At 39.7% G+C, this 12,636-nt stretch overlaps 1 protein-coding gene across 8 annotated transcripts in view; it reads right to left on the reverse strand.

Annotated features, from left to right (window-relative positions):
• Positions 1–12,636, reverse strand: part of SERINC5 (serine incorporator 5) — a 144,824-nt gene that overhangs the window by 48,985 nt on the left and 83,203 nt on the right. For all 8 annotated transcript variants that reach the window (NR_126060.2, NR_126061.2, NM_001174071.3 and 5 more), the window contains 2 exons: positions 9,126–9,337; positions 6,174–6,269 (listed from right to left, as the gene is read on the reverse strand). Coding sequence is in view for 6 of the 8 variants with exons in the window: in NM_001174071.3 (NP_001167542.1) it covers positions 6,174–6,269; positions 9,126–9,337 (308 nt within the window). In the remaining 2 variants the exon portion in view is untranslated. The remainder of the gene's footprint in view (positions 1–6,173; positions 6,270–9,125; positions 9,338–12,636) is intronic.

Raw genomic sequence — 12,636 nt, forward strand, 5'->3', positions numbered from 1 at the left:
GTGGGGAGAAATCTCCACTTATTTTAGTGTCACAGAAACCTTCTGTGTTGACTGTTGTAGTGTGAAACAGTAAGAAAAACTGAGTTATTCTAAACACTACGTAACAAAGATTCCTATAATATAACCATCAGTGGTAATTTACCTTTTACCTAACATGGAGTCTTCCATTTGGAACACCCAACCTAGGTCTGACTGCCAACTTTGCCACCAAAGCAAGTAACATAAAGTAACACTCTAGAAACCACTTTACAAACGTGCATATTTCAAGTGTCTGAAGTGAGACTAAAATTATGACTAGTATTTGCACTTGAAACAGTAAACGTAACTATGTATGCTGTGGTTTAAGGAATCTTTTATTATTTGTATAAATTTATGGGGTACAAGTGTAACTTTTTTACATGTAGTGGTGAAGTCTTGGCTTTTAGTGTATCTATCACCAAATAATGTGTATTCTACCCATTAAGTAATTTCTCACCATCCATCCCCTCCCTCCTTCCTATGTTTGAGTCTTCACTATCATTCCACACTCATGTCCATGTGTACACATTATTTAGCTCCCACTTAAAAGTGAGAACATGCAGTATTTGTCTGTGTCTGCTTGTTTCACTTAAGATAATGGCTTCCAGTTCCATCCATGTTGCTACAAAAGACAGGATTTCATTCTTTTTTATGGCTGAATAGTATTCCATTGTGTGGAGATAGATATATATATGTGTGTGTGTGTGTATATATATGTGTATATATATATGTGTGTGTATATATATGTATATATGTGTGTATATGTATATATATACGTGTATATATACGTGTATATATATACACACGTGTATATATATATATGTATGTATGTATATATATAAAAATCACATTTTCTTTATCCAATCATCTGTTGATGGACACTTAAAGGTGATTCCTTATCTTTGCTATTGTGAACAGTGCTGCGATAAACACAGAGGTGCAGTTATCTTTTTGATATAATGATTTATTTTCCTTTTTGTAGCTACCCAGTAGTGGGATTGCTGAATCAAATGGTAGCTCTATTTTTAGTTCTCTGAGAAATCTCCCACTGTTTCCCATAGAAGCTATGCTAATTTACATTCCCATCAACAGTATAAGTGTTTCCGTTTCTCCACATCCTTACCAACATCTGTTACTTTTTGTCTTTTTAATAATAGCCACTCTGACTGGTGTGAAATGACATCTAGTTATGGTTTTAATTTGCATTTCTCTGATGATTAGCAATGTTGAGCATTTTTTTCAAATGCCTGTTGGCCATTTATATGTCTTCTTTAGAAAAAAAATGAAATGTCTATTCATGTTCTTTGACTACTTTTTAATGGGATTATTTGGTGTTTTTTGTTGTTGAATTGTGTTCCTTGTAAATTCTGCATATTGCTCCCCTATAAGACACAGTTTGCAAATATTTTCTCTGATTCTGCAGGTTGTCTCTTCACTCTGTTGATTATTTCTTTTGCTGTACAGAAGCTAATTAGATTAACATAGTTCCATTTGTCTGGTTTTGTTTTTGTTGTCTGTGCTTTTGAGGTCTTAGTCATGAATTATTTCCCTTGAGCAATATCCAGAAGAGTTTTCCTAGGTTTTCTTCTAGCATTTTTACAGTTTCAGGTCTTACATGTAAGTCTTTAATCCACCTTTTGTTGATTTTTGTTGATTTTTGTATGTGGTGAGAGACAGGGGTTCGGTAGGGGTTCAGCATATGGAAATCCAAATTTTCCAGGACCACTTATTGAAAAGGGTATCCTTTCCCCAGTGTGTGTTCTTGTCAACTTTGTCAAAGACCAGATGGCTATAAATATGTGGCTTTACTTCTGGGTTCTCTATGTGGTTCCATGGATCTATTCTTATACAAATATCATGCTGTTTTGCTTACTGTAGCTTTGTAGCATAATTTGAAGAAGGGACTCCTCCAGCTTTGAAGTGTGATTCCTCCAAGTTTTGTTCTTTTTGCTTAGGATTGCTTTAGCTATTCTGGCTCTGTTGTTTCTATACAAATTTTAGGATGTTTTTCTGTGAAAAATGTCATTGGTATTTTGATAGGGATAGCGCTAAATCTGTAAGACTGCTTTAGGCAATATGGTCATTTTAACAATATTTATTCTCCTGATCCATGAGCATGGGATGTCTTTCCATTCGCTTGCATCCTTTTTATTTTTATTTTTTTGAGACGTGGTCTTGCTCTTTCACCCAGTCTGGAGTACAGTGGCCTGATCATAGCTCACCATAACCTCAAGCTCCTGGGCTCAGGTGATCCTCCAACCTCGGACCCATGAGTAGCTAGAACTACAGGTGCATGCCACCACACTCAGCTAATTTGTAAATTTTTTGTAGAGATGGGATTTCCCTATGTTGCTCAGGCCGGCCTCAAATTCCTGGCCTCAAGCCATCCTCCCACCTTGGCCTCCCAAAGTGCTGGGATCACAGGGATGTGAAACTACACATGGCCCCTCCTTTTAAGTTTTTCATCAATGTTTAGTAGTTTTCATTGTAAAGATCTTTCACGTCCTTCGTTAAATTTATTCCTAGTTATTTTATTTTTTGTAGCCATTGTAAATGGGACTGGCTTCTTGATTTGGTTCTCTGCTAGATGATTACTGGTGTATAGAAACACTACTGACTTTTTTTTTTTGAGGCGGAGTTTCACTCTGTTGTCCAGGCTGGGGTGCAGGGGTGCTGTAGTGCGATCTTGGCTAGTGAGCCAAGATCCCTCCCCCTCCCAGGTTCAAGTGATTCTCCTGTCTCAGCCTCCCAAGTAGTTGGGATTACAGATGTGCACACCACTATGACTGGCTAATTTTTGTATTTTTAGTAGACACGAGGTCTCACCATGTTGGCCAAGCTGGTCTCAAGCTCCCGACCTCAAATGATCCACCCACCCTGCCCTCCCAAAGTGCTGGGATTACAGATGTGAGCCAATGCACCCAGCCAAAACACTACTAATTTTTGTATGTTGACTTTGTATACTGCAATATTACTGAATTCATTACTCAAATCTAACAGTGTTTTGGTGGAGCCTTTTGGGTTTTCTAGATATAGAATCACATCATCAACAAACACGACAATTTGACTTCCTCTCTTCCAATTTGGATACCTTTTATTTCTTCCTCTTGCCTGAGTGTCCTGGCTAGGACTTCCAGTACTATGGTGAATAGGCATGGTGAAGGCAGGCACCCTTATCTTGGTTCAGTTCTCAAAAGTAATGCTTCCCATTTTTCCCCACTCAGTATGATACTGGCTGCGGGCTTATCATATATGACCTTTATTATTTTAAGTTGTATTCCTTCTATTATTTTAAGTTATGTTCCTACTTTATTGAGGGTTTTTTTTTTTACCATGAAAAGATGCTGAATTTTAACAAATGCTTTTTCTGCATCTATTGAAATGATCATATGGTTTTTATCTTTAATTCTGTTTATGTAATATGTAATGTATGATGTATCATATTTATTAATTTGCATATGTTGAACCATTCTTGCATCCATGGTATAATACCCACTTGATCATGGTATATTATCTTCTGATGTACTATTACATCGTGTTTGCTAGTATTTTGTTGAAGATTTTTCCATCTATGTTCATCAGGGGTATTGGTCTGTAATTTTTTTTTGTTGTGTCCTTGTCTGGTTTTGGTTTTCAGGGTGATATATCTGGCCTTGTATAATGAGTCAGGGAGAGTTCTCTCCTCCTCCATTTTTTGGCACAATTTCAGGAGGATTGGTATTAGTTCTCCCTTATATGTTTGGTAGGATTTGGCTATGACTCCATTCGGTCCTGGCTTTTTCTTATTGGAAGATTTTTTAAATCACTGATTCAATATCACTACTCATTATTGGCCTGTTTAGGATTTCTATTCCTTCTTGCTTTCCAGAAATGTATCCATTTCCTCTAGCTTTTCTAGTTTGTAAGTATATGGAAGTTCATAATAGTCTGTAATGATCTTTTGTACTTTTGTGGTTATTATTGTGATTTTTCCTTTTTCATTTCTAATTTTGTTGATTTGGTCTTCTCTCTTCTTGGTTAGTCCAGGGGCTTATCAATTTTGTTTATCTTTTCAACAAACCACCTTTTTTTTGTTTTGTTGATCCTCTGTATTGTTCTCATGGGTTTTTTTGGGGGGGAGGGGGGTCTTTATTTTATTTAGTTCCTTATTTTATTTTATTTTTTTGAGACAAAGTCCCTGTCTATTGCCCTGGGTAGAGTGCAGTGGTGCAATAAGAGCTCACAGCTCACTGCAGCCTCAACCTCTGGGGCTCCAGTGATCCTCCCACCTCAGCCTCCAGAGTAGCTGGGACTACAGACATGTGCCACCATGCCTGGCTAATTTTTTGTATTTTTTTGTAGGGACAGGGTTTCACCATGTTGCCCAGGCTGGTCTCAAACTCCTGGGCTCCTGCAATCTGCCTGCCTCAACCTCCCAAAGTGCTAGGATTACAAGCATGAGCCAACTCACACAGCCCTGATCTTTGTTATTTCTTTTGTTCTGCTAACTTTGGGTTTGATTTCTTCTTGATTTTCTAGTTCCAGGTGCAATGTTAGGTTGTTAATTTGTAATCTTTCTGCTTTTTTCATATAGGCATTTAATGCTATAAACTTCCCTGTGTATGCTGTGGTTTCAAGAATCTTTATTCTTAGGCTAATTAAAAAAATGTAGAGCACTTGAAATTTAAAATAACTTTTTTTCTGTTTTTTTTTTTTTTTTTTTTTTGTAGAGATGCTATGTTGCCAAGGCTGGTCTCAGCTCCTGGCTGCAAGCAATCTTCCTGCCTCAGCCTCCCAAGGTGCTTAGATTACAGGCATGTGCCACCACGCTCAGCCTTTTTTTTCTGTTTTAAAGGGATACCTGCCATTTAAAAAATATTGTAAATAAAAATCCCAGTAAGTTAAAGCCAGAAATTAATACATAAACAGTCATAAAAGAAAGTCTTAAAGAGACTAAATTTATGTAAACTTACAGAGTCAAGATAGAGTATTTAAAAAAAAAACTTAAATCCAGGTTAGGCAATAGTTACTTAAGACCTCCACTTACATTACTTTCCACTATAAACAGCAACAAGGACAAACCCATAAATACTATGTGTATATGCTAAAACTTTCAAAATTATCACTGCACCAGCTTTCCAAATTTAAAAGAGGAAACAACTTCAATTCTCTTAGACACTACATTTATTTGACTTATATAAGCTCAAATATACTCAAACATACATTTATATATGCTTATGTGTATGTATGTATATATGTATGTATGTCTGTGTATATTTACATTTATACATCACATAAGTAATAGAGAGGATAAGTAAGTTTCTGCAAGTTACTTAAGTAGCAGGATCAGTCTATAAACCAGGCAGTCCGACTTCAAAGCTCATGCTCTAATCACTATGTTCTGTTGTCTCTGTAAATAAATGTCATTTAAGACGAGTGGTTTGAGGTCACATAGCCAGTAAATCATGGATCTGTGCTCAGATCCTGCTCCCTGCTCCCCACTCCCCCACATTCTTTCCACTCTTTATTCCACTGCTATAGTCAGAAAAGAAAAGAAATACAACTAAAGAGGTTATTTAGGCCTAAAAGCAAACTCCACAGCCAAACCTTTCCTCCTGTCTGTCCTACACACCAGGAAGAATCGAAAAAGGGAATTTTCCTTTACATAGCTCAAGTTAAAGACTTTTTCATGAAAAAGTCTAGATCATCTCTCTACTGTGATTTGGTACATTTCTAACGTTTATTTTTATTTTTTAACTTAATTTTTGTGGATACATAGTAGGCGTACATATTTCTGTGGTACATGAGATGTTTTAATACAGGTGTGAAACATGTAACAATCACGTCATCTAAAATGGGGTACCCATCCCCTCATGCACTGATCTTTTGTGTTATACAAGCAATCCAATTATACTCTTTTAGTTATTTTTAAATGTACAATTAAATTTGACTATAGTCACCCTGTTGTGCTATCAAATACTAGGTCTTATTCATTCTTCCTATTTATTTTGTACCCATTAATCATCCTAACCTCCTCCCAAACCCTTCCCAGCCTCTGGTAACCATCTTTCTGCTCTCTATCTCCAAGGCCTCTCCAATATTTAAACAATAGCTCATTCCTCCATGAATGAAAATATTCACACCGCAAACACAAGCCCACTAACAGGCTGGCTTACCTACTTCTGCAGGTTTGCTGGACAGAGCTGAGAAGGTGAGGTAGGTGACATAGCAGCTTATGACCCCTGATTGTAAGAGCCCCGAGTGTGGCTGTCCTGAAAAGTGACAAGAGACAGACAACAGGTTTTAATTTGAAGAAAAAGAAAGCACATGCCTAAAAAACCTGATAGTCCCCATGACAGTCCTCAAACTTGAGCATCCACCTTTAAAGGAAAGAAAAGAGAAAAAAATGTAGTATGTTTCTCAGATAAAACTAAAAAGATATTAAGGGGGAGAGAGTTACACGCTGAACTGAACATTGCTACTTCAAAGACATCAGGTTCTGCCAAGTTATCTACCAATACTTTATCAAGCCTATGGCTACACTTAAAACACACTAACTAGTCTCCCTGAGGTTTGTAACATTAGTTCTTAAATCACAAGATCAGAAAAAAAATTACCATAGTTGTTGATAAAACCACATAGCTTAATTGGGGAGGGGAGTAAGTGGTAAACCAGATTTCATAGGGGATGTATTCTGGATTCTACAAGGTCATCACATACTACAGTCTATGACAGGGCAAAAAGCTCTTACCTGCCAATGATCAAAAAGCTTTTGGGGACAGAATACAAGAACTGCTCTTGGCTAAAGAGGAAGGCTATGGGGCTCAGCATTCACTGGGAGAATGGCTTTAAGGTTATTTATTTATTTATTCATTTATTTTTAACTTTTATTTTAGGTTTAGGGGTGTATGTGCAGGTTTGTTGTAAGGGGAAAATTGCCACAGGGGTTTGTCATATAGATTATTTCGTCACCCAGGTATTAAGCCTAGTACCCATTAGTTATCTTTCCTGATCCTCTCCTTCCTCCCACCTCCACCCTCTGATAGGCCCCAGTGTGTGTTGTTCCCCTCTATGTGTCCACATGTTCTCATCATTTAGCTCCCACTTTTAAGCAAGAACATGTGGTATTTGGTTTTCTGTTCCTGTGTTAGTTTGCTAAGGATAATGTCCTCCAGCCCCATCCACGTTCCTGCAAAGGACATGATCTCTTTCCTTTTTATGGCTACACCGTATTCCATAGATTCCATAGTGTATATGTACCACATTTTCTTTATTCAATCTACCATTGACGGGCATGTCGGTGATTCCATATCTTTGCTATTGTGAATGCCTGTGTCTTTATGTGAGAACCATTTATATTCTTTTGGGTATATACCCAGTAATGAGATTGCTGGACCTAATGATAGTTTTGTTTTTAGGTCTTTGAGGAATTGCCACCCTGCTTTCCACTATGGTTGAACTAATTTACATTCCCACCAACAGTGTATAAGTGTTCATTTTTCTCTGAAACTTCACAAGCCATCTGTTATTTTTTGAAAGTTATAATATTTCAAGGAAACTAAGGGTTCAGATCCTTCAGAGTAACCAGGATGTGATAAGGGATCTCTCTTTCTTTCCTGCGAAATTTTCGACCACTTGCCGACATAAAAGGATGCAGTTTTTACTCAGTCTTCCCTTTGGTCAAATTTGTTTCCAAAATTATCATTATTAAATTGTAATTACCAATAAAGACATAAAATAGACCCTGTTATAATGTTGCTCTTTGGCAAGGGAATAAGATTTTCCTTAGCACCTAATGGTATTAAACCAAGTATTTCAAAACATTATCCCTATTTCAAAAGGTAGGACTTAACCCAAAGATTTTAATCGGAATATCAAGTTGTTCTAGGAACTCTTAACTGATCAATTAAAGGGATTAGGAGAATAATACTCTCAATTTCAATAATGGTCTTAAAATTTTTAATAGAAGAAAACAAATTATTTGTGACTAGTTGCCTTTTTTTTTTTCGACACAGAGTCTCACTGTCACCCAGGCTGGAGTGCAGTGGTGGGATCTTGGCTCACTGCAAGCCCCGCCTCCCGGGTTCAAGCAATTCTCCTGCCTCTCAGCCTCCCGGGTAGCTGGGAATACAGGCGTGTCCCACCATGGCTGGCTAATTTTCTGGGTATTTTTTTGTAGAGACGGGGTTTCCCGAAGTTGGCCAGGCTAGTCTTGAACTCCTGACCTCAGACGATCTGCCTGCCTCAGCCTCCCAAAGTGCTGGGATTACAGGCATGAACAACTGCGCCCGACCACTAGTTGCCTTTTTAAACCACTATTTTAGAAATGATTCAAGGGGGCTGTACATTTATTGCCTGTATTTTCCTACCTAGAACCTGAATGTCATGTGCATTTTCATCACCTATAGGGTCCGACACCCACAAAAAAAATCAGACCAGGGACATCTCACTGTAAGCCCAAAGACACTATACCCTGGCTTAAGAAACCAAGAGTAGTTTATAAATGGCAATTCACATTTATACTTCCTAAAGCACTTTCAGATCCCACTGTCTCTTCCTTCCGGCTTTGAAACAACAATGAGCAAGGTCAGGCTCACATGTTTCCACTGAGTTTACTGAGGAAGAACCTGGGTCTAAGGAAGGTTAGCACATGGGCCAGCTGCTGGCTGAGCTGGGATGGGATGTCCTGCTTCCTGACTCCCAGACCACACTGTCCACAGCCTTGAGTGAAAGATGACCCCAGAACCAACCCCTTCTGCGGCCCTTTCATTCAACTTTTACACAGAGATTGTAGGCAAGCTCATAAACACCTGATCTTGATATACACGGAAGGCATTTCCCATTTAAAGGCTCTTTGTGGTACATTATTTAGCAAAGGCAGTATCTTCCTATTCATTGACTTCGTTACGTTCAGGTCTTTCTCGACATGAGAAATGCTTGGCTATCACAGCTCGAGCATGAGATATGAAGAGACTGGAGCCCCACCTTGCCTACTGCTGACACATCCACAGTAAGTTAAGGAATACACTAGTTCCAAACAAACAAAACAAAACAAAAAAAGCCATTGGGTTTGCTCAAAGACACTTAGGAAAATATAAGTAACGAAGAATGGAAAAAAACATGCTTACGATTTTGGACCCAGGGTGAGATGGCTACCAATGATATAAGCAGGCACAGGCCTCCATTTACTCCCAGCAGAATTTTGTTTTCCATGCAGCTGTCTTTCTGTGTATAAAACACTGCCATCAAAACCAAGCCTCCAGTGGCAATGGAATACATGATGAGCGTCACCAGGGCCAGGGAGGCGTACCACAGCTTGTTACTGGCTGTGCCTGCTGTCCTGTTTCTCCGGGAAGTGGGTAAGAGGGAGAGGAGAGAAGACAAGTCAACGAAGCCCACCATTCTGCGGTAACAGTCACCATCCCTCAGGCAGTAACTAATGCTACAGGCCACAGGCACTGGTACCCAGCTGCTCAGAAGACACATTATTTTAGCAGTGATTATGCTCATCAAAGCTAGAAGGTTCTGGTAAATATGGAAACTTCTTGACTCAAGCTGAGAATTTTCTCTCAACAATGAGAGAATTCCACTTTCTGCGACAAATGTATTCATTCATTAAAATGAATAATGTCAACCCAAATGAGAGACTGAGGCAACAGTCTCAATCAGCCGAGGTGTACTGAGCCAGAGGTCTGAGGGTGCACCTAAAAGCACACAAGTCACAGAATCTTCTGTGGCTGGTGCTCCCAAAGAGGTTGCAGAAGGCTCAGTATTTACCCATTTCTTTAAAGGGGAGAAGGCACGCAGGAAAAGGGGGCAGGTGGTGAGGCAAACGTGACATTCCCCTGAGATTTTAACTAGTGCCCAGTAAACCCTGCTATACAAGAGATATGATCAACATTCAAAAAGGGAGTAAAGGAAGAGTTAATTATGTAGTCTCAGGGTAAGCAGAGAAATGACTGCTGTCCTGTCTTTGTTCTGCACCTGGGAAGATAAGCTTGTAATGGACATTGTCAGTGTGAAATGTAACAGACTGCAATTCCATGGACAGGGAGCTAGACTTAGGTCGCAGACCTAAAGTTACAGCTGACATGTCCTTTTTTATGGGAAGATACACATCTTGAAAGGTTTAGGGACAAGCAGAGAATTTACTTATGAGCAATTTGAGGGCAGCCATCCGGGTTGCATGGGGCCTTTTGCCTTCTGTAGAGATCTAGCTAATGTGTAGTCCTTTGACACAAGGTTGGGAAGTCACAGCTATCTATGGGCAGGTGGGGGGAGACAGCAGTGTCACATGACTGTGTCTCCAGGCTTAACTCTCCATTTGGTGTAATGAGTTTGAGCAGTCCTGAGACTCTTTATTTCCTTTAGCTACCTACAGACTTTATTCTAGCTTCTCCATTCTGACTATGAACCACCGTGGGTCAGTTTTTGGCAGGATGAAAAAAGTGGCTCTTCACTGGGCTTCCCCAAGTTTTCTCCATAAACACAGAGCCCCGAAGCGCCATAGTCTCTACTCCAAAGTGCTGCCAGGAGAGGTGGCTCACACCTGTAATCCCAGCACTTTGAGAGGCCGAGGCAGGTGAATCACTTGAAGCTAGGAGCTCAAGACCAGCCTGGGCAACAAGGCAAAACCTTGTCTCTACAAAAATTAGCAGCATGTTGTGGTGCAAACTTGTAGTCCCAGCTGCTTGGGAGACTGAGGTAGGAGGATCACCTGAGCTCGGGTGGATGAAGGCTGCTATGAGCCATGACTGTACTACTGCACTCCAGTTTGGGCAAGAGTAAGACCCTGTCTAAATTTTTTATTTTATTTTTTTTTGAGACAGAGTCTTGCTCTGTCGCCCAGGCTGGAGTGCTGTGGTGTGATCTTGGCTCATTGCAACCCCCGCCTCCCAGGTTCAAGTAATTCTCTGCCTCAGCCTCCTTAGTAGCTGGGATTACAGGTATCCACCACCATGCCGGGCTAATTTTGTATTTTTAGTAAAGACGGGGTTTCACCATCTTGGCCAGGCTGGTCTTGAACTCCTGACCTCGTGATCCACCCACCTCTGCCTCCCAAAGTGCTAGGATTACAGGCATGAGCCACTGTGCCTGGCCCTAAATGTTTGATAATAATAATAAATAAACTTTTAAAAACAGAAACAAAGTGTTGCCAGCAGCTCTGATGCCATCTTCTTAGGGAGGAAAGAGAATTACCTTTACTAAGAGCCATACTGGCTGACCTTAGCTCTTTATTCCCTGTACTGAAGAGAAGGACCTGTAACTGTGCTGCTTCTTTATCTAAAATAGTATCAGGGAATAGTAAAGGAAAATTTGACATTAAAAAAAGTTAAATAGATAGGAATAAATTCTGGTGATCAACTGTATGGTAGGGTGATGATGGCTAGCAGTAAGGTATTGTATATTACAAAACAGCTAGAGGAGAGGCTTTTGAAGATTCTCAACACAAAGAAATGATACAGCCTGGCCAACAGAGCAAGACCCCATCTACAAAAACCAAAAACCAAACCAAAACAAAAAACAAACAAAAAAATTAGCTGGACATGCTAATTAGCCAGCTTCTTGGGAGGCAGAGGCAGGAGGATTTCTTGAGCCTAGGAGTTCAAGGCTGCAGTGAGCTATGACTGCGCCACGGCACTCCAGCCTGGGTGACAGAGTGAGACCCTGTCTCTTTAAAAAAAAAGACAAAAAAAGAAAGGAAAGAAAGAAAAAGATGATAAATCCATGAGGTAATGAATAGCCAACTACCTTGATTTGATTACTATATAACATATATGTATCAAAACGTCAAAATGAACCCGATAAATATGTACAATTACAATATGTCAATTAAAAAATAAATTAGGGCATGGTGGCTCATGCCTGTAATCCCAGCACTTTGGGAGGCCAAGGCGGACAGATCACGAGGTCAGGAATTCGAGACCAGCCTGACCAACATGGCGAAACCCCATCTCTACCAAAAATACAAAAATTATCCGGGCGTGGTGGTGCATGCCTGTAATCCCAGCTACTTGAGTGGCTGAATCGCTTGGACACCAGAGGCAGAGGCTGCGGTGAGCCCAGATCATGCCACTGCACTCTAGCCTGGGCAACAGAGCAAGACCCTGTCTCACACAAAAAGGGAAATTGTTCAGAACAAAAAAAAGTATCTATAAATGCTAAATGAAGAGGACAGAACAGGGAGAATGAATTGAATGAATCATTGTCATCTGCCTTATGATTAAATTGCTCTTTGTAACCACATTCTCCCAAACCTCACAGAAAAAGCAACTTGCTTTATGCCCTCACAAAACTGGAAAGTGTTCAAGCAACCCAGCTAAAATGTTTTAATGATGAAAAAGTTCCTGCAACCAGAAACAAAGAAAATAGGGAGGAAAGGCCAAAATGATAATGACCGTCATATTCCTGAAACTGTGCCAGACACTCCAATGACCTTGGAATTATTCTAACATAAAAGGCATACAAAGGAAATGAGAGAAAAATGGGATTTTAAGAAGGAAAAAAATATCTAAGAGCAAATAATAATGGATGATGGGGAGACAGCATGAATTATACAGAAAAAGGTAAACACTGCTGACTGGTTTGTGCGTGGGAGACGACCAACGCTTCTATTCACTAGTCTTTTTGGTTATGTTA

This window comes from Homo sapiens, chromosome 5 (genome assembly GCF_000001405.40).
Source record: "Homo sapiens chromosome 5, GRCh38.p14 Primary Assembly".
Classification (NCBI taxonomy): Eukaryota; Metazoa; Chordata; class Mammalia; order Primates; family Hominidae; genus Homo; species Homo sapiens.